Source organism: Homo sapiens, chromosome 1, assembly GCF_000001405.40.
Source record: "Homo sapiens chromosome 1, GRCh38.p14 Primary Assembly".
NCBI classification, from domain to species: Eukaryota; Metazoa; Chordata; class Mammalia; order Primates; family Hominidae; genus Homo; species Homo sapiens.
In genome coordinates this window covers 39,037,395-39,061,908 of record NC_000001.11, presented here as the reverse complement: position 1 = coordinate 39,061,908, position 24,514 = coordinate 39,037,395, and the positions used below count along the sequence as shown (strand labels likewise).

The 24,514-nt window shown below is 45.0% G+C and overlaps 1 long non-coding RNA gene across 6 annotated transcripts, besides 2 other annotated features; it reads right to left on the bottom strand.

The window, feature by feature from the left end:
• Window positions 1–35: 35 nt before the first annotated feature.
• Window positions 36–23,892, bottom strand: LOC124904088 (uncharacterized). Of its 6 annotated transcripts, none has more exons than XR_007065970.1 (3): window positions 19,071–19,428; window positions 13,922–14,873; window positions 36–68 (listed from the first exon to the last, which is right to left on the bottom strand). It is a non-coding gene; the product is annotated as an uncharacterized LOC124904088 (long non-coding RNA). The 6 variants fall into 6 exon arrangements; XR_007065964.1 differs by lacking the exon at window positions 36–68 and adding an exon at window positions 23,877–23,892 and having other exon boundaries at window positions 12,191–14,873; window positions 19,071–19,193; XR_007065957.1 differs by lacking the exon at window positions 36–68 and adding an exon at window positions 20,759–20,808 and having other exon boundaries at window positions 12,191–14,873; window positions 19,071–19,193.
• Window positions 9,446–9,947: an enhancer, noted in NCBI's record as "NANOG hESC enhancer chr1:39517634-39518135 (GRCh37/hg19 assembly coordinates)". NCBI's record gives its function as "activates a minimal SCP1, AML or CMV promoter by ChIP-STARR-seq in primed H9 embryonic stem cells {active_cell/tissue: H9 hESC(primed)}" and the evidence as "EXISTENCE:reporter gene assay evidence [ECO:0000049][PMID:30033119]".
• Window positions 22,870–23,129: an enhancer, noted in NCBI's record as "active region_800". NCBI's record gives its function as "activates an Ori minimal core promoter by ATAC-STARR-seq in GM12878 lymphoblastoid cells {active_cell/tissue: GM12878}" and the evidence as "EXISTENCE:reporter gene assay evidence [ECO:0000049][PMID:35858748]".
• Window positions 23,893–24,514: the final 622 nt, after the last annotated feature.

Here is a 24,514-nt window from a genome sequence, read left to right as displayed (position 1 = left end):
TGCTGGAGCCCAGGAGTTGGAGGCTGCAGTAAGCTATGATGGCACCAGTGCACTCCAAGTTTTTGTCTCTTAAAAATAAATAAATGAAAATACAAAATTAGCTTACAGAGTGGCTATTCCATTTTACATTCCCAACAGTAATGTATGAAAGATTCAATTGTTGGCCGGGCATGGTGGCTCACGCCTGTAATACCAGCACTTTGGAAGGCTGAGGCGGGCAGATCACGAGGTCATGAGTTCGAGACCAGCCTGGCCAATATGGTGAAACCCATCTCTACTAAAAATACAAAAATTAGCCAAGTGTGGTGGCGCATGCCTGTAATCCCAGCTAGTTGGGAGGCTGAGGCAGGAGAATTGCTTCAACCCAGGAGGCGGAGGTTGCAGTGAGCCAAGATCGTGCCACTGCACTCCAGCCTGGGTGACAGAGCAAGACTCTATCTCAGAAAAAAAAAAAAAAAAAAAAAGATTCAATTGTCCACATCCTCTAGCATGTGGTATTCTGTTTTATTATTTTTTTTATTTTATTATTATTTTTTGAGACAGAGTCTCACTCTGTCACCCCGGCTGCAGTACAGTGTCATGATCTCGGCTCACTGCAGCCTCCACCTCCCAGGTTCAAGCAATTCTCCTATCTCAGCCTCCCAAGTAGCTGGTATTACAGGTGTGCACCACCATCATGCCAAGCTAATTTTTGTATTTTTAGTAGAGACAGGGTTTCACTATGTTGGCCAGACTGGTCTCCAACTCCTGGACTCAAGTGATCTGCCTGCCTCAGCCTCCCAAAGTGCTGGGATTACAGGCACGAGCCACCACGCCTGGCCCTATTTTTTTATTTTAGCTATTCTCACAAGTATGTAATGGTATCTCATCATGGTCTTAATTTTCCTAATGGATAGTTATGTTAACATTCTTTCACGTGTTTATTTGCCTTCTGTATATTCTCTTTGGGGAAATATCTTAAGTTTTTTTTTTTTTTGCACATTTTCTAATGGGATTATCTGGTGTTTTTCTTACTGTTGAGATTTGAGTGTTTTGTTTTGTTTTGTTTTGTTGTTTTTTTTTTGAGACAGAGTCTTGCTCTGCCACCCAGGCTGGACTGGAATGCAGTGGCTCTCGCTGCAAGCTCCGCCTCCCAGATTCATGTCATTCTCCCGCCTCAGCCTCCTGAGTAGCTGGGACCACAAGCACCTGCCACCACACCCAGCTAATTTTTTTGTATTTTTAGTAGAGATGGGGTTTCACCGTGTTAGCCAGGATGGTCTCAATCTCCTGACCTCGTGATCCGCCCGCCTCGGCCTCCCAAAATGCTGGGATTCCAGGCCTGAGCCACCACGCCCAACCTTTTTTTTTTTTTTTTTTTTTGAGACAGAGTCTAGCTCTGTAGCCCAGGCTGGAGTGCAGTGGTGCAATCTCGGCTCCCTGCAACCTCTGCCTCCTGGGTTCAGGTGATTCTCGTGCCTCAGCCTCTTGAATAGCTGGGATTACAGGCATGCACAACCGTGCCCAGCTAATTTTTGTATTTTTAGCAGAGATTGGGTTTTACCATATTGGCCAGGCTGGTCTCAAACTCCCGGCCTCAAGTGATCTGCCTGCCTTGGCCTCCCAATGTGCTGGTATTACAGGAGTGAGCCACAATGCCCGGCCTTGAGTGTTCTTTATATATATTCTAAATATAAGTCCTTTGTCAGATATATGGTTTGCAAATATTTTCTCTCACTTTGTAGTTTGTCTTTTCATCCTCTTAATGGGGTCTTTCACAGAGCAAAAGTTTGTAATTTTGATGAAGTCCAATTATGTATATATTTTTTCTTTTATGGTTCTTGCTTTTGGCATCATGTCTGAGAACTTTTCCCTGAGCCCTGGGGAAAGACTCCTAGGTCCTGATGATTTTCTTCTATCTTGTCTTCTAAACATCTTATAACTTTACAGTTTACATTTAAACCTGTTCCATTTTAAGTTAATTTTTGTATAAGGCATGAGGTTTAGGTTGGTTGCTTTTTTTTTTAATGGTCACTTTTACATTTTTATTTTACTTTTTTTTTTTTTCAGCAGCATTCATGCAACCTCTGCCTCCTGGGTTCAAATGATTCTTGTACCTCAGCCTCAAGAATAGCTGGGATTACAGTTGCATGCCACCATATCTGGCTAATTTTTTTGTATTTTTAGCAGAGATGGGGTATTGTCATGTTGGTCAGGCTGGTCTTGGACTCCTGGCCTCAAGTGATCCGCCTGTCTCAGCCTCCCAAAGTGCTAGGATTACAAGCATGAGCCGCTGCACCCAGCCTAGATCTCTGTATTCATCAGAACTAAGGCAATTAAAGGAATTGTCTTATTGTGGGGGCTGGCAAATCTGAATCTGCAGAACTGGCCAGCAAGCTAAAGACCCAGGGAAGAGTTGATGTTGCAGTTCAAGTCTGAACAAGTCTGAAGGCAGTCTAGATGCAGAATTATTGCTTCCTTGGTGGCTCTCCATCTTTTCCATCTTTTATAATTTTTTTTTTTTAACAGAATCTTGCTCTGTTATCCAGGCTGGAGTGCAGTGGTACGATCTTGGCTCACTGCACCCTCCGCCTCCCGGGTTCAAGTGATTCTCCTGCCTCAGCCTCCCAAGTAGCTGGGACTACAGGCGCCCGCCACCACACTTGGCTAATTTTTTGTATTTTTAGTAGAGAGGGTGTTTCACCGTGTTAGCCAGGATGGTCTCGATCTCCTGACCGCATGATCCACCTGCCTCGGCCTCCCAAAGTGCTGGGATTACAGGCGTGAGCCACCGCGCCTGGGCCAGACTCAATATTTCAAATAAAACTCTAGGTTTACTAAAAACAGTGTGATGGGCAGCCAGAACTTCTGCTTCTAGGCAGGCTGTATCAGATCACAGAAAGCCAATTTCTGTGGAGTTGTTTTTTGTTTTTTCCTATGAACATCAATTTGCTTCAGTACCATTTGTTGACAAAACTATCCTTCCTCCACTGTATTGCATGGGGTATTTCTGGGTCCTCTATTGTCTTCCATTGATTGATGTGTCTTTCCATCCACCAATACCCCACAGTCATAATTACTATAGCTGTATTCTTGAAATTAGGCAGTGATTCCTCCCACTTTAATCTTCTTTTTTTTTTTTTTTTGAGATGGAGTCTCGCTCTGTCGCCCAGGCTGGTGTGCAATGGTGCAGTCTCGGTTCACTGCAACCTCCACCTCCCCGGTTCAAGCTATTCTCCTGCCTCAGCCTCCTAAGTAGCTGGGATTACAGGTGCACGCCACCATGCCGGGCTAATTTTTTTATTTTTAGTAGAGATGGGGTTTCACCATGTTGGTCAGGCTGGTCTTGAACTCCTGACCTCGTGATCTGCCTGCCTCAGCCTCCCAAAGTGCTGGGATTACAGGCGTGAGCCACCATGCCCAGCCTTTTTAATTTTTTTATTTTTGAGATGGAATCTCGCTCTTGTTGCCCAGGCTGGAGTGCATGGAGTGCAATGGCACGACCTCAGCTCACTGCAACCTCTGCTTCCCAGATTCAAGCAACTCTCCTGCCTCAGCCTACCGAGTAGCTGGAATTACAGGCACCTGCCATCACACCTGGCTAATTTTTTGTATTTTTAGTAGAGATGGTGGTTCACCATGTTGGCCAAGCTGGTCTCAAACTCCTGAAGTGATCCACCCGCCTCAGCCTCCCAAAGTGCTGGGATTACAGGCGTGAGCCACTGCGCCCGGCTTAATCTTCTTTTTAAAAATATATTTTAGGCCACGTGTGGTAGTGCACGCCTGTAGTCCCAGTACTTTGGGAGGCCAAGTTGGGACAATTGCTTGAGCTCAGGAGTTCAAGACCAGCCTGGGCAACATGGCAAAACCCCGTCTCTACAAAAAATTGAAAAATTAGCTGGGTGTGGTGGCACATGTCTACAGTTGAAGCTACTCGGGAGGCTGCAGTGGGCCAAGATTGTGCCACTGCACTCCAGCCTGGGTGACAGAGCAAGACCTTGTCTCAAAAAAAGTTTTTTTAATGAAAATTATTTTATGCTGGGCACAGTGGCTCATGCCTGTAATCCTAGCACTTTGGGAGGCTGAGGTGGGAGGATTGCTTGAGTCCAGGAATTCAAGCACCCTGGGCAACACAGGAAGGCCTTGTCTGTATAAAAAATAATTTTTAAAAATTAGCTGGGCCTGGGCCGGGCTCGGTGGCTCACGCCTGTAATCCCAGCACTTTGGGAGGCCGAGATGGGCGGATCACAAGGTCAGGAGATGGAGACCATCCTGGCTAACACGGTGAAACCTCGTCTCTACTAAAAATACAAAAATAATTAGCCAGGCGTGGTGGCGAGTGCCTGTAGTCCCAGCTACTCGGGAGGCTGAAACAGGAGAATGACGTGAACCTGGGAGGCGGAGCTTGCAGTGAGCCGAGGTCATGCCACTGCACTCCAGCCTGGGCCACAGAGGAAGACTCCGTCTCAAAAAAAAAAAAAAGGAAATTAGCTAGGCGTGGTGGCACGCACCTGTGGTCCCAGTTACTTGGGAGACCGAGGTAGGAGGATTACCTGAGCCCAGGATGTCAAGGCTGCAATGAGCTGTGATCACGCCACTGTGGTCCAGTCTGGGTGACAGAGTGAGACTCTGGCTCAAAAAAAAAAAAAAAAAAAATTGTTTCAGCTATTCTAGTTTATTTGCCTTTCCTCATACATTTTATAATAATCTTTATTTACAAAAATCATGCTGGGATTTGGATAGGAATTGCACTAAACTTGTATATTAATTTAGGGAGAATTGACATCCTTACTGTGATGAGTCTTTGAAGTCATGAAAACAGTATATCTGTCTATTTAGATCTTCTTTGATTTCTTTCAACACCATTTTCTAGTTTTCATCATATGAGTCTTGTACATGTTTTACTGGATTCATACCTAAATATTTCCTTTTTCTGTGATTATAAATATTATGTTTTAAATGTTGATGTCCGTGTTTTCATTGCTAATATATATATGTTGATATTTGTATGTTGATTTTGTATTGTGACCTTGCTGAATTCACTTACTGGTTCTAGCTTTTTTTTTTTTTTTAGATTTCATGAAATTTTCTATAAAGGCCATCATGCCATTATAAGGACCGCCTGATATCTTTCTTTCCAATATGTATGCTTTTAAAATTCTTTTCCTATTCTTATTACACAGACTACAATTTCCAGCACTGTGTTGAATAAGATTGGTGAGAGTGGACATGCTTGCCTTGTGTTCAGTCAGGGGGAAAGCATTCAGTCTCTCACTGTGAAGTATGATGCTAGTTGTAGGTTTTTTGTAGATACTCTATCAAATTGAGAAAATTCCCTTTTATTTCTAGTTTCCTGAGAGTTTTTATTATGAATGGGTACGGAATTTTGTCAAGTGCTTTCTCTCTGTCAATTGATTTTTCTTTAGCCTGTTAACAGGGTGGAATACATTGATTGATTTTTTTTCATTGATTGATTTTTGAATATTGACTTAGCCTTGCATCCCTGGAATAATCCCCACCTGGTCATAGTATATAATTCTTTTCATATATTGCTGAATTCTATTCATTTTTTTTTCTTTGGAGACGGAGTTTCCCTCTTGTTGCCCAGGCTAGAGTGCAATAGCACAATCTCCGCTCACGGCAACCTGTGCCTCCCAGGTTCAAGCAATTCTCCTGCCTCAGTCTCCCGAGTAGCTGGGATTACAGGCATGCACCACCATGCCCGGCTAATTTTGTATTTGTATTTTTTATTTTATTTTATTTTTGAGATGGAGTCTCGCTCTGTCACCCAGGCTGGAGTGCAATGGTGCGATCTTGGCCCACTGCAACCTCCCCCTCCCGGGTTCAAGCAATTCTCCTGCCTCAGCCTCCTGTGTAGCTGGGATTACAGGTGTTTGCCACCATGCCTGGTTAATTTTTGTATTTTTAGTAGAGACGGGGTTTTGCCATGTTGGCCAGGCTGGTTTTGAACTTCTGACCTCGTGATCCGCCCACCTAGGCCTCCCAAAGTGCTGGGATTACAGGCATGAGCCACTGTGCCTGGCCAATTTTGTATTTTTAGTAGGGATGGGGTTTCTCCATATTGGTCAGGCTGGTCTCGAACTCCCAACCTCAGGTGATCCGCCTGCCTTGGCCTCCCAAAGTGCTGGGATTACAGGCGTGAGCCACCGTGCCCGGCCTCTATTTGTTATTTATTTATTTATTTATTTATTTATGGAGACAGAGTCAGGCTGGAGTGCAGTGGCACGATCTTGGCTCTCTGCAACCTCCACCTCCCGAGTTCTAAGTGATTCTCCTGCCTCAGCCTCCGGAGTAGCTGGGATTACAGGCACGCACCACCACGCCCAGCTCATTTTTTTTAATTTTTAGTAGAGACAGGGTTTCACCATGTTGGTCAGGCTGGTCTCCAACTCCTGACCTGAGGTGATCCACCCACTTCAGCCTCCCAAAGTGCTGGGATTACAGGCATGAGGCACCGTGCCTGGCCTATTTGTTGATGTTTTGTTAAGGATTTTTGTGTCTGTGTTCTTATTAAAGGTCATTGGTCTGTAGTCATCTTTTTTGTATTTTCCTTGTCTGGTTTTGATATGGGTAAGATGGGCCTCATAAAATGACTTAGGAAATGCTTCATCTCTTCTATTTTCTGGATCAGATTTGTAGAATCGGTGTTAATTCTTTAGACGTTTGATAGAATTCTCCACTGAAATCATCTGGAGTAAAGATTTCTTGGGGGTGAAGTTTTAAATTACAAATTCAATGTCCTTAATAGTTATAAAGCTACTGAAATTATCTACTTCATATCGGGTATGTTGTAGTAGTTTTTATTTTTTAAGGAATTAGTCCATTTCATCTAAGTTGTCAAATGTGTGTTAGTAACATATAAAACAAATGTGTGTTTATAAAATTTCCAGGGCCAGGCACGGTGGCTCATGCCTGTAATCTCAGTACTTTGGGAGTCCAAGCAGCCAGATCACGAAGTCAGGAGTTCAAGACCATCCTGGCCAACATGGTGAAACCCGTCTCTACTAAAAATACAAAAGTTAGCTGGGCGTGGTGGCGCGTGGCTGTAATCCCAGCTACTTGGGAGGCTGAGGCAGGAGTATCACTTGAACCAGGGAGTCAGAGATTGTAGTGAGCCGAGATCACGCCACCATACTCCAGCCTGGTGACAGAGCGAGACTCTGTCTCAAAAAATAAATACATAAATAAACAATACAATAAAATTCCCTTATTATCCTATCGTTATCTGCAGAGTCTGTAGTGATAGCTTCTGTTTTATTCCTGATATGAAGAATGTATGGGGTGGGCACAGTGGTTCATGCCTGTAATCCCAGCACTTTGGGAGAGCTGAGGCTGGAGGATCACTTGGGCCCAGGAGTTCAAGGATAGCATGGGCAACATAGCAAGACCCTGTCTCTATAAAAATAACTTTTTTTTTTTTTGAGATGAAGTCTTACTCTGCTGCCCAGGCTGGAGTGCAGTGGCATGATCTCGGCTCACTGCAACCTCCGCCTCCCAGGTTTATGGGATCCTCCCACCTCAGCCTCCCAAGTAGCCAGGACTACACGTGTGCCACCGTGCCTGGTTAATTTTTGTATTTTTTGTAGAGGCAGGGTTGGGTTTTTGATATGTTGCCCAAGCTGGTCTTGAACTCCTGAGCTCAAGTGATCCATCTGCCTCGGCCTCCCAAAGTGCTAGGATTACAGGCATGAGCCATCGCACCCAGCCTCTCTCTCTCTTTTTAGGTCAGCCTTGCTAAAGATTTGTCAATTTGGCCTCAGGCAATGGCTCACGTCTGTAATCTGAGCACTTTGGGAGGTTGAGGTGGGTGGACAGCTTGAGCCCAGAAGTTCGAGACCAGTCTGAGCAACATGGTGAAACCCTGTCTCTAAAAAAAATACAAAAATTAGACAGGCATATTGGCATGCACCTGTAGTCACAGCTACTTAGGAGGCTGAGGCAGGAGAACTGCTTGAGCCCGGCAGGTTGAGGCTGCAGTGAGCTGTGATCGCACTCTAGCCTGGGTAACAGAGCGAGAGGCTGTCTCAATTAAAAGAAAATAAAAGATTTGTCAATTTTATTGATTTTTTCAAAGAACCAGTTTTCTGTTTTGTTGGTATTCTCTACTGTTTTTCTGTTTTCAATTATATAGATTTCTCTTCTTTTCCTTCTTTCTGTTTGTTTAGGGTTTATTTTGTTCTTTTCTAATTTCCTGAGGTGGAAGCTTGTATTATTGATTTGAGGTTTTTTTCCTCTTTTCTAATGTAAGCATTTAGTGCTATTAATTTCCTTCCTAGTTGTGATTTAGCTGTATCTTACAAATTTTGATACATTGTATTTTCATTTTCATTCAGGTTAATGAATTTTGTATTTCTCTTGAGGATTGCTCTTTGGTTCATAGATTACTTAGAAATGTGTTATTTAGTTTTCAAGTGTTTGAAGATCTTCCTGGAGATTGTCTTTGTGTTATTAATTCTAAGTTTGAGTCCATTTTGGTCATACACTCTGTATGATTTCAATTCTTTTAAATTTGTTGAGGTTTGTTTTATAACCCAAGATATGGTTGATCTTGATACATGTTTCATGGGTGCCTAAAAAGAATGTGTTTTTTTTGTTGTTGATGTACTATAAGTGCTGATTACATCCTGTTGGCTAATGGTAGTGTTAAATTCTATATCCTATTACAGGTGTGAGCCACACACTCAGCCCTGTTGACTTTCTGTCTAATAGTTTTTCTTGTTTTGTTTTTTGGGGTTTTTGTTTTTTTTTTGAGATGGAGTTTCACTCTTATTGCCCAGGCTGGAGTGCAATGGCATGATCTCGGCTCATTGCAACCTCTGCCTTCCAGCTTCAAGCGATTCTCTTGCCTCAGCCTACCAAGTGCTGGGTTTACAGCCGTGCACCACCACACCCAGCTAATTTTTGTATTTTTTTAGTAGAGGCGGGGTTTCACCATGTTGGCCAGGATGGTCTCAATCTCTTGACCTTATGATCCACCCACCTCGGCCTCCCATAGTGCTGGGTTTACAGCCGTGAGCCACCACGCCCAGCCTAATTTTTGTATTTTTAGTAGAGACGGGGTTTCACCATGTTGGCCAGGCTGGTCTCGAACTCCTGATCTCAGGTGATCCACCTGCCTTGGCCTCCCAAACTTCTGTGATTACAGGCATGAGCCACCGCGCCTGGCCAGGTTCACTTATTTTTCAAGTCTGTTGTTTGGTACGTACACATTTAAGTTTGGTATGTGTTCCTTTTTCTTTTCTTTTTTTCTTTTTTTTCTTTCCTTTTTGAGGCAAGGTCTCGCTCTGTCGCCCAGGCTGGAGTGCAGTAACTTATCACAGTCTACTGGTGTTGACATTTTACCAGTTTGAGTGAAAGGTAGAAACATTACCTCTATACCTCTGGAAAGTTCTACCAGATTACAAATAAAGAAAGAAACCTTTTTCTGTGTCCTTTTACTCTCCCATTATAATGTAACTATCTTAAGTATTTCCTCTACATATATGGACAGCCACTTAGACAAGCGTAATTTTTGCTTCAACTGTTGAACATAATTTAGAATACTCAAGAGGAAAAAGACAATCTATTGTATTGACCTGTATGTTTGCTCTTTTTGTCCTTTTTTCCTGCCTGATGTTCCAAGATTCCTTTTGTTACCACTCCCTTTGTTTAGAGAATTGCCTTTAGTAATCCCTATAAAGTAAATCTGCCAGTGACAAATTCCCTTAGTTTTTCCCTCATGTAAGAATGTCATGATTTCCTCCCCCACAGCCCTTCCCCCCAATTCCTGAAGGATTGTTTCACCAGGTATGGGATTCCAAGTTGATAGTTCTTTTCTTTCAGCATTTCAAAAATGTTCCAGCTGGGCGCAGTGGCTCAGGCCTGTAATCCCAGCACTTTGGGAGGCCGAGGTGGGCAGATAACGAGGTCATGAGTTCGAGACCAACCTGGCCAATATGGTGAAACTCCTGTCTTTACTAAAAATACAAAAATTAGCCAGGCATGGTGGCGCGCCTGTAGCCCCAGCTACTTGGGAGGCTGAGGCAGAAGAATTGCTTGAACCTGGGAGGCGGAGGTTGCAGTGAGCCAAGATCGCGCCACTGCACTCCACCCTGGGTGAAAGAGTAAGACTCTTGTCTAAAAAAAAAAATGTTGTTCCACTTCCTCCTGGCCTCCATGGTGCCTTACGAGAAATTCAGCATCATTTGAATTGTTTTCCCCCTATAGGTAATGTATCATTTCTCTCTGGCTGCTTTCAAGAATTTGTGGCTGGGTGCGGGTGGCTCACACCTGTAATCCCAACACTTTGGGAGTCTGAGGCGGACAGATCACCTGAGGTCAGGATTTCGAGACCAGCCTGGCCAACATGGTGAAACCCCATCTCTACTAAAAATACAAAAAATTAGCCAGGCATGGTGGTACACGTCTATAGTCCCAGCTACTTGGGAGGCTGAGGCAAGAGAATCGCTTGAACCCAGGAGGCGGAGGTTGCAGCGAACTGAGATTGTGCCACTGTGCTCCAGCCTGGACAGCAGAGGGAGACTCCATCTCAAAAAAAAAAAAAAAAAAAAAGTATATGTTGAGAAGTTTATGATGTGTTTTCTCATGGGCATATCCTGTTTGAGGTTTGCTCAGCTATGTGAATCTGTCAGTTTGTCTTTTGCAAAATTTGGGCAAATTTCGGCTATTTGTTCTTTTAATATTTCTTCTCCTTCTGTGACTCCAATGACATGAATGTTAGATCTTATGTTATTGTCTCACATGGCCCTGAGGCTCTGTTTTTTTTTTTTTCCATTCTATTTTTTTTCCCTAGTGTTCAGATTGGATAATTTGTAGTTTTCTGTCTTCAAACTCATTCTTTCCTCTGTCCTCTCCATTCTGTTGCTGAGCTTATTCATTGAGTTTTAAATTTCAATCATTGTATTTTTTATTCCTAAAATTTCCATTTGGTTCTTCTTTATGTATCGATCTGTTGAGACATTATATTTTCCAGACTTTCCATTTTTTCATTTGTTCCAAGTATGTTTGTATTTGAACACGTTATATACATTGAAGCATTTTTATGATGGCTACTTCAAAATCTTTTTCAGATAATTCTAATATCTGTGTCATTTTGGTGTTAGTGTATATAGATTATCCTTTCTTATTCAAAATTTTCTGGTTCCGGTTCAAATGACTTTAAGACCTGGACATTTTGCACATCATGTTATAAGACTCTGGATCTTATTTAATGTTTTGGGATAGGGTCTCACCTTGTCACTCAGGCTGGAGTGCAGTGGGGTCATGACTCACTGCAGCCTCAACCTTCTGGCCTCAAGCAATCCTCCCATCTCAGCCTCCCAAGTAGCTAGGACCACAGGCAGGCATCAGCATGCCCAGCTAATTTTTTTGTTTTTTGTTTTTTTGTAGCAGCAAGGTCTCCGTATGTTGCCCAAGCTGGTCTTGAACTCCTGGGCTTAAGCAATCCTCCCACCTCAGCCTCCCAAAGTGCAGGGATTACAGGCATGAGCCACTGCGCCCAGCCTCTGGATCTTACTTTATAGCTTGTGTTTCAGCAGGCCTCCTCTAACATTGCTTCTGTGGGGAAAGTGCGGATGCTACCTTATTTTTACCAGGAGGGTGTGGAAGTCCAGGTTTTCCACTTGGCCTCCATTGACACCGGTGTTGGCAGGGCTCCTTCTTACTGCTGGGCAGGGGTGGGAGTCCAGTTTCTCTATTAGGCATTCACTGATACCACACCGGCTGGGAGAGGGAGTGGGCCTCCACCGACATTGTTGGGAGAGGTGGCCTTGATTATGGATGAAAGGCCTGAGTGGATAACTAGGCCTCTTCTACATCACCCTGGTGGGGAAGGGAAGGAGTACTTCATTACAGCCTAACAAGGTTTGGAGATCTAGGCTTTCCACTTGGCCTTTGCTGATGGGGGTGAGGGTGGGGCTGGAGTAGAGGGGCTATAGTCTAAAGGCTGTCTGTCGGCTGGATGCAGTGGCTCATGGCTGTAATCCCAGCACTCTGGGAGGCTGAGGCAGGCGGATCATTTGAGGCCGAACGAAAGGCTGAGGCAGGCAGGAGAACTGCTTGAACCCGAGAGGCAGAGGTTGCAGTGAGTCGAGATCGTGCCACTGCACTCCAGCCTGGGCGACAGAGTGAGACTCTGTCTCAAGAAAAATCAAACCAAATGAAAACTAAAAATAAAAAAATCAAGGCTGTCTGTCTTTCTAGGCTGTTTATTTTCTTGTCCTTTGACTCAGAAAGCAGACTTGCAGGACACCATGGTTCACGCTTATAATTCCAGCACTTTGGGAGGCTGAGGCCAGAGGATTGCTTGAGCCCAGGAATTTGAGATCAGCCTGGGAAACAGTGAGACCCCCATCTCTACAAAAAAACATAACAAACAAACAAACAAAAAAAACAAAAAGGCCGGGCACGATGGCTCATGCCTGTAATCCCAGCACTTTGGGAGGCCGAGTCGGGCGGATCACCTGAGATCAGGAGTTTGAGACCAGCCTGACCAACATGGTGAAACCCCATCTCTACTTCTAAAAATACAAAAAATAGCAGGGCGTGATGGTGCATGCCTGTAATCCCAGCTACTCAGGAGGTGAGGCAGGAGAACTGCTTGAGCCCAGGAGGCAGAGGTTGCAGCAGTGAGCTGAGATCGCGCCAGTGCACTCCAGCCTGGGCAACAAGAGTGAAACTCCGTTTCAAAAAAAAAAAACAACTGTATTGATTAGTCAGGCATGGTGGCGCAGATCTGTAGTCTAAGCAGCTTAAGCCTGGGAGATCAAGGCTGCAGTGAGCCATGATTGCACCACTGCACTCCAGCCTGGGCGATAGAGCAAGACACTCTTTCAAAAAAAAAAAAAAAAAAAAGACAAGCTTTTCTTGGGGCTTTTGTCTGCAATCGTTGGCAGTTTTGGGTTGCTGGCTTCTCCAGTACCCATTCTGACATATATGAGGCAAAAAGAAAACTTAGGGAGGTCACTGCTGAGTCATTCCTTGGATCTGGAGGTCCCTAACCAATCTGCTTTCTTCTTGTTCAGAGTCATCTTATGTTCATTTTGTATAATATAGAGTGTTTTTGGGGTTTTTAGCTGTACTTAGCAGGAGGACTGGGGAAAAGAATATCTACTCTATCTCTCAGAAGCAGAAGTTGCTCCAGATACTTTGAAAAATTAAAGCCAGTGTTTAAAAATTCCTCAAAATGGCCAGGCATTGTGGCTCACACCTGTAATCTCCACATTTTGGGAGGGCAAGGCGGGGAGCCTAGGGGTTGGAGACCAGCCTGGACAACATGGCGAAGCCCTGTCTCTACAAAAAAATTAGCTGGCATGGGGCGGGAGCGGTGGCTCACGCCTGTAATCCCAGCACTTTGGGAGGCCGAGGCGGGAGGATCACGAGGTCAGGAGATCGAGACCATCCTGGCTAACATGGTGAAACCCCGTTTCTACTACAAAATACAAAAAAATTAGCCGGGCGTGGTGGCGGGCGCCTGTAGTCCCAGCTACTTGGGAGGCTGAAGCAGGAGAATGGCACGAACCCCGGGAGGCGGAGCTCGCAGTTAGCCGAGATCGCGCCACTGCGCTCCAGCCTGGGGGACAGAGCGAGACTCCGACTCAAAAAAAAAAAAAAAATTAGCCAGCGTGGTGGCACATGCCTGCAGTCTCAGCTACTTGGGAGACTTGAGGTGGGAGAATCACCTAAGCCCCGGGAGGTAGAAGCTACACACTCCAGCCTGGGCAACAGAGTAAGACCTCGTCTCAAAAAAATTTTTTTTCTCAAAGAAATGTAGACTTCTGGTTGCTCATGAAATGCTGGAAGATGAGTCATCCTGGGCCTGCACTTTGATTTGGTAACAGTTGGCTGTTGCTGGGTGCCCACTGCCCCGTAGACGGATTATACTGCATTGAATTTACCGTAGGTCCCACCCGTTCATACTCACTTAGAAAAGGCCCGCATCACTCATCCTTGCATGACTGCCAGAGTGTGAACTTGCTATCTCTGTATTGAAGTTGTGTTTCATCTCCAGGAAGTGTTGGCTGCAGCAAAGATTGGATGTGACACCAGAAAAAAAGAGTCATTGGCAGGATCCTTTAAGGATTCTGCTACATCACTGCAGAAGTGTTCTGTCTCCCAGCACAGAAAGTCTGCCTTAGCACATACTGTTCTGAGCAGTTACAGTTTTTAAAAAAACTTCCCCTCCCTTATCTTAGGAAACAGCTAGCCCATTTCTCCTCTTAATTAACCCCTAATCATGACTCAGTTACTCAGTTACGCTCCCAGCCCATTCTTGTGGAAGCCCTGCAAAGCAAGCCAGTGGGACCATGGAAACGTGTAATTTAGCGAAGCCTTGGATTCTCAGTGGCTGCAAAGTGAAGCCCCGAGGGGAGGTAGCTTTGTATTCTAAAACAGCAAAGAATGCTGTGTTGGTAGCTCCAGCCAGATTGGTGATCTGAGTAATGTGGACGTTTCAATAGGCCCCAGCAGAGTCCTAAAAATATAGTCTGCCTGGTCAGCTCTGCCATGTCAGTTTCTAAAACTGTCAGCACCAGTAGGGCAGCAGAACCACTCTCAAAGCAGAGGCTTTTCAACTTTTGGGTTCACTGACCGCTTTCAGGGACAGGAGGCCTCACCAGCCTCCTAGCCTCTTTGATCCCAGGCACCCTGGCTTCTTCCTGAGAGGGAAGCATGAAGGGGAAGCTGCCCATCTTCTCTTGCCTGAATCCTCACCACTCCTTGTCTGCAGCTCTGTGTCCAGGAACAGCCACTGTTGCTTCCGACAGGAGCTGAGAAATGATGAGCTCTTTGCTGTATTTTGATAAAATGAAGCCCAACGTGGACAGCAGGCACGAGGTTCCTGCAGGAACCTTGGCTTCTCTGAGGTACTCAGGCCTCTGGGGAACCAAACACAAAACAATTTGATTTGTCATCAAGGACACCAGCTCAACACATTTGCAGATGTGTTTGGCCTGGAACATCATCCTTCTCCTTGGCCACAGTGCCATGTGACTAGCCCTCCAATGCCACAGGGAAATAAGAGCACTGGTGTCAAACTAGGAGGTAACGCGATTCAAAGAGACCCTTCAGGAGGGCTTGGCCATAGATAAAAGGATGAGGGGGAAGGGTAGGCAGGAGGAGGAGAAAAAAGAAACAGCAGTAGCCATGGTTATCTTTTGTCTAGTATCTACTGTGTACAAAGTATTTTGTGTTAGATGCTGTGTGTGTGTGTGTTCACTTAATTATCAGGGAAATCCTGTGAAGTAAGAATGATCTCAGGCTGGGCACGGTGGCTTGTGCCTGTAATCCCAGCACTTTGGGAGGCCTAGGCGGGCAGATCACGAGGTCAAGAGATCGAGACCATCCTGGCTAACACGGTGAAACCCCATCTCTACTAAAAATACAAAAAATTAGCCGGGCATGGTGGCGCACATCTGTAGTCCCAGCTACTCGGGAGGCTGAGGCAGGAGAATCACTTGAACCTGGGAGGTGGAGGTTGCAGTGAGCTGAGATCACACCACTGCACTCCAGCCTGGGTGACACAGCGAGACTCCATCTCAAAACAAAAAAAGCAAAAAAAAAACAATGATCTCTACTTTGCAATTAAAGAAACTTTGACTCAGAGGCTGGGCATGGTGGCTCACTGTAATTTCAGCATTTTGGGAGGCTGAGGTGGATTAATCATCTGAGATCAGGAGTTCAAGACCCGCCTGGCCAACATGGTGAAACCCTGTCTCTACTAAAAATACAAAAAATTGGCCAGGCGGTGGCTCACGCCTGTAATTCCAGCACTTGGGAGGCTGCTGAAGTGGGCAGATCACCTGAGGTCAGAAGTTCGAGACCAGCCTGGCCAACATGGTGAAATCCTGTCTCTACTAAAAATATAAAAATGAAGGCCGGGTATGGTGGCTCATGCCTGTAATCCCAGTACTTTGGGAGGCCGAGGTGGGCAGATCATGAGGTCAGGAGATCGAGACCATCCTGGCTAACATGGTGAAACCCCATCTCTACTAAAAATGCAAAAATTAGCCGGGCGCGGTGGTGCACGCCTGTACTCCCAGCTACTCAGGAGGCTGAGGCAGGAGAATCACTTGAACCCAGGAGGCGGAGGTTGCAGTGAGCCGAAATCGTGCCATTGCACTCCAGCTTGTGCAACAAGAGTGAAACTCTGTCTCAAAAAAAAAAAAAAAAAAAAATATATATATATATATATATACACACACACACATATACAATATATACAACATTGTATGTATGTGTGTGTATACACACACACACACACACACACACACACACACATATATATATAGAGAGAGAGAGAGAGAGAAAGTCCAAAAGCGTGGCTTTTGGAACTGATTCTGGGCTAGGTATAGATCCCAGGAGAACCCGTGTTCTACAAACCTCACTCTGGGCAAAACTGACCCAGACTGGGTTTTGGGATGCTTGATGTAATGAGGCAAGTGGCGCGATCTTGGCTTACTGCAATGGAGCGGCTCCTTCTGCCTGCTGCCGTCAGATTCTCTGCTATCTGGCTGGCAGGACAATTCGCTATGGCCTGGCTTTTGCAACTGATTCTGGGCTAGGTATAGGATCCCAGGAGAACCCGTGTTCTACAAACCCCACTCTGGGCAAAACTGACCCAGACTGGGTTTTGGGATGCTTGATGTTAATGAGGCAAGTGATATGTCTACTGAACTTACTGCTCCAAGTAGGACATTGTAACTTTGAGTTCCCCTCATCCCTTTCATATTGGAGGAGTTGTCTGGGCAGCAGGAGCTACGGCAGGCCAGGGTTGCTCTAGTTTTTAGCCAGAGCTAGCAGGTAAGTGCCTCCCAATGATATGCAGATTAAAGATAAGTAATCCTGGCCCATTTCTGCTCAAGTGGCTATAGTTTGCAAGTGACAGCCACCAATTCCAGGGACTTGAATGGCTACTGGAATTGAGGAAGTCCTCCCACTGACTGGGCTGGGTAGTGCAGGGAGGGAGAGGACACCATTCTGACTGACTCCAGACTGACATCAGGACTAGTCTCCCTAGGAGTGCAGGGACTTTACCTCCTCTGCATTTTCATGACCACTGTCCTAGGCCAGTTGTGTGCCTCCTCACTACAAGCCAGCAATTGCTGGGCCAACATATGCTTCCTGAAAACACAGATCCAGCCTCTCTTGTTCTTTCCACTTATCAGGTGGCTCAAAGGCTACCCAATCAATCTTCCAAAAGCTCAGATCCTAAACCTACACGGGCTCCCCAGTACCATCAGTAACTCCTGTACTTGCTTTCATGGCTCATCTCATCTTTTCAATCTTTGCTCCCTCTTGGTGTTTGGGCCTCAACTACTTTTCTCCTCCTTCTCTCCTCCTCCTCCTCCTCCTCCTTCTTTCTTCTCCTTCTTTCCTTTTTTTTTTTTGAGACAAAGTCTCACTCTGTCACCCAGGCTGGAGTGCAGTGGCGCCATCTTGACTGACTGCAACCTCCTCCTCCCAGGTTAAAGCGATTCTCCTGCCTCAGACCACGCCCGGCTAATTTTTGTACTTTTAGTAGAGGCAGGGTTTCACCAGTTGGCCAGGCTGGTCTCGAACTCCTTACCTTGTGATTCACCTGCCTCGGCCTCCCAAAGTGCTGAGATTACAGGTGTGAGCCACTGCACCCAGCCTTTCTCCTTCTTTCTTCTTCTTCCTTCTTCTTCCGCCTTCTCCTTTGAACCCAGCAGTCAGAGGTGGCAGGGAGTCAAGAGTGTGCCACTGTATTCCAGCCTGGGCTACAGAGCAAGACTCCATCTCAAAAAATAACAATAATAAAACTTCTTCTTTCTTCTCCTCCTCCTCCTTCTTTCCTTCCTTTTTTTTTTTTCAAGACAGTCTCGCTCATTGCCCAGACTGGAGTGCAGTGGCGAGCTCTCTGCTCACTGCAACCTCCGCCTCCCAGGTTCAAGCAATTCTCCTGCCTCAGCCTCCCAAGTAGCTGGGATTATAGGCATGTGCCAACACGCCCAGCTAATTTTTGTATTTTTAGAAGTGATGGGGTTTCACCATGTTGGCCAGGCTGGTCTTGAACTCCTGACCTTGTGATCTGCCTGTCTCAGCCTCCCAATTCTTCTTTCTTCTTCCTTCCTCCTTTCTTCTTCCTCTTTTTCTTCCTCCTCCTTCTTCCTCCCTCCTACTCCTCCTGCCGCCTCCTCCTCCTTCTTCTTCTTTGTCTTTCTCTTCTTCCTTCCTCTTCTTTCTTTTTCTTCTTTTCTTCCTGTTGGGGGCAGGTGTTGCACCAAAATCCATAATGCTGACATGTAAACCAGTTCACAATGGAGGAACTCTGATTGAAGAGGATGTCAGGGATCTGCTAATTCCTTCTCCACTTCCGTTTTAAAACCGCTGCTTGAACCAAATGGTTCTGATCACTGTTGCTCTCAAATACCTCCATGCTGGCTGGGCGCGGTGCCTCATGCCTGTAATCCCAGCACTTTGGGATGCTGAGGCAGGACAATCACCTGAGGTCAGGAGTTCGAGACCAGCCTGACCAACATGATGAAACCCCATCTCTAATAAAAATACAAAAATTAGCTGGGCGTGGTAGTGTGCACCTGTAATCCCAGCTACTCTAGAAGCTGAGGCAGGAGAATTGCTTGAACCCAGGAGGTGGAGGTTGCAGTGAGCCAATATCATGCCATTGCACTCCAGTCTGGGCAAAAAGAGCAAAAATCTCCATCTCAAAAACAAAAAACAAAAAACAAAAAAACCTCCATGCTTTTGCTCATACTGTATTCTCTGTCTGTAATGCCTGGCATCTCTTCATGTCCAAATCTTCTTTCTTCTTCTTCTTTTTTTTTTTTTTTTTTTTTTTTGAGACAGGGTCTCAACCTGTCGCCCAGCCTGGAGTGCAGTGGTGCAGTCATGGCTCACTACAGCTTCTCATGTCCAAATGTTATCTGTCCTTTAGGGCACAACATGAATGCTACAAAGCCTCCAGACCATTCCTCTCTCCAACCCTCAACATTCACTCTTATGCCCAAAAAGGCTTTTTCCCTTCTCTGGGCCTACACAGGACTTGTGCTTCCCTCACGGAAATGAGTGACTACTTTCTACCACAAACTGATTACCCGTATCCAGATTTCATTTCTTAGCTCCATAAGAGGCAGGCCCATGACTCTATCCATCATCTGTCACTCTTTCACAAAGCTCAACTGAGTGTCTTGTCCTTGGTTTCATGCCAGATGCCACACCTAGAATAAAAGTAATGTTAAGTAAATGAAAGTGGGTTGACCAACATTGTCTCCATCCTTGTGGATAAGGAATTTCTATCTCCTGGGGAGGGTAGACGGAGAGATGTTGGTCTAAAGATACAAAATTTCAATTAGACTGGAGGAATATGTTCAAGAGAACTGTTGTACAACATGGTGATGCTAGTTAATAACAATGTATTACATTCTTTTTTTTTTTTTGAGATGGAGTCTCGCTCTGTCACCCAGGCTGGAGTGCAGTGGTGCAACCTCAGCTCACTGCAACCTCCGCCTCCCAGGTTCAAGTAATTCTCTTGCCTCAGCCTCCTGAGTAGTTGGGATTACAGGTGTGTGCCACCACGCTCGGCTAATTTTTATATTTTTAGTAGAGACGGGGTTTCACCATATTGGCCAGGCTGGTCTCAAACTCCTGACCTCAAGTGATCCACCCCTCCCCGGCCTCCCAAAGTGATGGGATTACAGGCATGAGCCACCGCACCTGGCCAGTGTATTGTATTCCTAAAAATTACTAAGATTTTGTGTTCTCACCACAAAAATGAAAGTATATGGGATAATGCATATATTAATTAGCTTGACTTAGCCATTCTACAATATATACATATTTCAAAACAGTGTGTTGTACATGATAAATATATAAGATTTTGTCAATTAAATAAGAAACTTTTGGGCTGGGTGCAGTGACTCATGCCTGTAATACCAGCACTTTGGAAGCCCAAGGCGGGCAGATCATTTGAGGTCAGGAGTTCAAGACCAGCCTGGCCAACAGGGTGACATCTCGACTCTACTAAAAATACAAAAATTAGCTGGGCATGGTGGCGTGTGCCTGTAATCCCAGGTACTTGGAAGGCTGAGGCAGGAGAATCGCTTGAACCAGGAGGTGGAGGTTGCAGTGAGCCAAGATTGTGCCACTGTACTCCAGCCTGGGTGACAGAGCAAGACTCCATCTGAAAAAATAACGACAATAATAATTATTATTGCTATTATAAGCTGCTATGAACATTCACGTACAAGTGTCTATTTAAACATACATTTTCATTTATCTTGAGAAAATATCTAGGAATGAAGGTTCTTAGTCATGTGGTAAGTGTATGTTAAACTTCATAAAAAACAGGCCAACAGTTTTCCAAATTGGCTGTATCATGTTATATTCCTACTGGCAATGTAAGAGAGTTCCAGACGCTCTACATCTTCAGCAACATTTGGCGATGTCAGTTTTTCAAAAATTTTGGACATTCCAGTGGATGTAAGGTGGTATCTCAGCATGGTTGTAATTTGCATTTTCCACATTACTAATGATATTATCTTTTTATGTGCTTATTGGCTATTTGTATATCTTCCTTTAGGAAAATATCTGTTCAAGTATTTTGTCATTTTTAAAAAGTTGTATTGGCTGACCGCAGTGGTTCATACCTGTAATCTCAGCACTTTGGGAGGCCGAGGCGGGCAGATCACCTGAGGTCGGGAGTTCAAGACCAGCCTGACCAACATGGAGAAACTCCATCTCTATTTAAAAAAATACAAAACTAGCTGGGCGTGGTGGCACATACCTGTAATCCCAGCTACTCAGCAGCTGAGGCAGGAGAATCGCTTCAACCCGGGAGGCGGAGGTTGCGGTAAGCTGAGATCATGCCGTCGCACTCCAGCCTGGGCAACAAGAGCAAAACTCCATCATATTAAAGAAAATTGTATTGTGAGCCTTTTAATTACAGATTTGCAGATACGAGTAATATACACCGGTGTAAACACACAGACATATTTTAGACACAAGACTTTCGTCAGATATATGTATTTTGAACATTTCTCTCAATTTTGGCTTGCCTATTCATTTTCTTCATAGTGTCCTTTGATGAACAAAAGGTTTGTTTTGTTTTTTTGAAACCGAGTTTTACTCTGTCCCCCAGGCTGGAGTGCAGTGGCACGATCTCAGCACAATGTAACCTCTGCCTCCTGAGTTCAAGTGATTCTTGCGCCTGACCCTGAGTAGCTGGGATTACAGGCATGCACCACCCTGCCTGGCTAATTTTTTGTATTTTTAGTAGAGGTGGGGTTTTGCCATGTTGGCCAGGCTGTTTCCAACTCCTGGCCTCAAGTGATCTGCCTGCCTTGGCCTCCCAAAGTATTGGGATTACAGGCGTGAGCCACTGCATCCGGCCCACTTTAACATTTTCTACTTCTATTTTTATATATTCTAATTGCTGAGTTTGTTGTTGTTGTTAATTCTATTCAGTTTGACGTATGGGTCAATCAGGGCTCTACCTAGGACTTCATATACAGGCTTAAAGAATCCCTTTGACCGGTTTCCTCTCTTCTAAAATCCTCTTTGGAGGGCCAGGTGCAGTGGCTCATGCCTATATCCCCAACACTTTGGGAGGCTGAGGCAGGCAGATCACCTGAGGCTGGGAGTGCAAGACCACCCTGACCAACATGGAGAAACCCCGTCTCTACTAAAAATACAAAATTCGCCGGGCATGGTGGCACATGCCTGTAATACCAGCTACACGGGAGGGTGAAGCAGAAGAATCACTTGAACCCAGGAGGTGGAGGTTGCAGTGAGCCCAGATGGCACTATTGCCCTCCAGCCTGGGCAAAAAGAATGAAACTCTGTCTCAAAAAAAAAAAAAAAAAAAAGGTATCTTTCATGAGACTCCATGATTGCATATATCCATTTAATCACCACTATATTCAGGATATAGAACACTTCCATCACCCTAGAAAGTTCCTTATGTCCTCTCCCATTCAATCCCTATCCCCTCTTTAGGCAACTGTTGTTTTACTTTCTATCCTCAGAGATTAGTTTGCCTGTTCTTGAATTTCAATTTCTTGGGAGTAGAATCTTATGGTGTGTATGTGTGTATCTTATTGTGCATACACACTATACGGGTTGTATATATATATTTCTTTTGGCTTCTTTAAAGCAGCCTGATTTTGAGATTTCCTGTATTGGCTTTTTTTTTTTTTTTTTTTTTTTTTTTTTTTTTTTTTTTTGCCATCTCTCTTTGTATGCTTTGATCTACCTTCAACTTCACTGAACGTTTCCTTTTTTTTTTCTTTTTTTTTTTTTTTGTGATGGAGTCTTGCTCTGTCCCAGGCTGGAGTGCAGTGGCGTGATCTTGGCTCACTGAAACCTCTGACTCCCAGGTTCAAGCGATTCTCCTGCCTCAGCCTCCCAAGTAGCTGGGACTACAGGTGTGCGCCACCACGCCCACCTGATTTTTGTATTTTTAGTAGAGACAAGGTTTCACCATGTTAGCCAGGCTGGTCTCGAACTCCTGACCTCAGGCAATCCACCCACCTCGGCCTCCCAAAGTGCTGGGATTACAGGCGTGAGCCACTGCACCTGGCCTCCCCTCTTTTTTTTTTTTTTTTTTTTTTTTTTGAGATGGAGTCTTGCTCTGTCCCCCAGGCTGGAGTGCAGTGGCACGGTCTCGGCTCACTGCAAGCTCTGCCTCCCAGGTTCACGCCATTCTCCTGCCTCAGCCTCCCGAGTAGCTGGGACTACAGGCGCCCACCACCATGCCCGGCTAATTTTTTGTATTTTTAGTAGAGGCGGGGTTTCACCGTGTTAGCCAGGATGGTCTCGATCTCCTAACCTCGTGATCCACCCGTCTCGGCCTCCCAAAGTGCTGGGATTACAGGCATGAGCCACCGTGCCCGGCCTCTAATTTGTTGTTAAGCCTAGGTAGTAAATTATTCATTTTAGATATTGCAGGTGTTCTTTGTAAGACTTTCATTAAGGTCTTTTTCTGTTTCTGTTTCTCTTCTAAGATTGCCGGTCTGTTCACTCATTATGACTATTAAGTCTTTGAACTTTTTTTTTTTTTTGAGATAGTCTCACGCTGTTACCCAGGCCGGAGTGCAATGGCATGATCTCAGCTCACTGCAACCTCCACCTCCTGGGTTCAAGTGATTCTCCTGCCTTAGCCTCTGAAGTAGCTGGGATTACAGGCACATGCCACCACACCTGGCTACTTTTTGTGTTATTAGTAGAGACGGGGTTTCACCATGTTGGCCAGGCTGGTCTTGAACTCCTGACCTCAGGTGATCCACCCACCTCAGTCTCTGCAAGTGCTGGGATTACAGGCGTGAGCCACCACACACGGCCCAAATATATTTTTGATAGATATTTTTAAGTCCTTCTCTGCTGATTCAACTTCTGAGTCATCTTTGGGTCTGTTTCTCTGTTTCTGTTGACTGCTTTTCTCCTTTACTGTGTGTCCCATTTCCCATTAACAGTATACACGTCTGTTGTATACTAAATATTGTGAATGACAAAAGTTGTAGACTCTGGCTTCTGTTGTTATTTACTGGAAAGTGTTGGTTTTTGTTCTGGCAGGCAATTCTCCTTGAGTTTATGGAGAATTGATTTTATCCAATGTTAGGCTGGGTCTAGGAAAAGGCCTTTCAACTTATATACAGTATAACTAGGAGGTCCAAGTTCATTCTTTTGCATGTAGCTATTTGGTTATCCCAGCACCACTTGTTGACCATTCAATAGTCTTGGCACTCTTGTCAAAAAACAACTGACCAGTAAGGTGCAGTGGCTCACGCCTGTAATCCCAGCACTTTGGGAGGCTGAGGTCAGGAGATTGAGACCAATCTGGCTAACATGGTGAAACCCCATCTCTACTAAAAATACAAAAATTAGCCAGGCGTGGTGGCATGCACCTGTAATCCCAGCTACAGGGAGGCTGAGGCAGGAGAATCACTTGAACCCACAAGGTGGAGGTTGTAGTGAACCAAGATTGTACCACTCCAGCCTGGGCAACAGAGTGAGACTCCATCTGAAAAAAAAAAAAATTAAAACAAAAAAACAATTGACCATATGCTTGCCTATTGTGATTTTTTAATAAAAAAAATCAATTGACCATAGATGTGTTTATTTCTGAACTTGCAATTCTATCTATATGTCTATCCTTATGCTAACACCACAGTCTTGACTATTACTGCTTTGTAGTAAGTTCTGAAATAATTGGAAAGTGTTGAGTCCTCTAAATATGCTCGTCATTTTCAAGATTATTTTTTCATATTCTGGGTTCCTTATAACCCCATATAATTTTTTTTTCTTAGACAAGGTCTGGCTCTGTTGCCCAGGCTGGAGTGCAGTGGCACAATCTCAGCTCACTGCAACCTCTGCCTCCTGGGCTCAAGCAATCCTCCCACCTCAGCCTCCCGAGTAGCTGGGACTACAGGTGCACACCACCACACTAGGTAATTTTTGTAGAGACGGGGTTTCGCCACATTCCCCAGGCGGGTCTTAAACTCCTGAGCTTAAGTGATCCACCTGCTTCAGCCTCCCAAAGTGC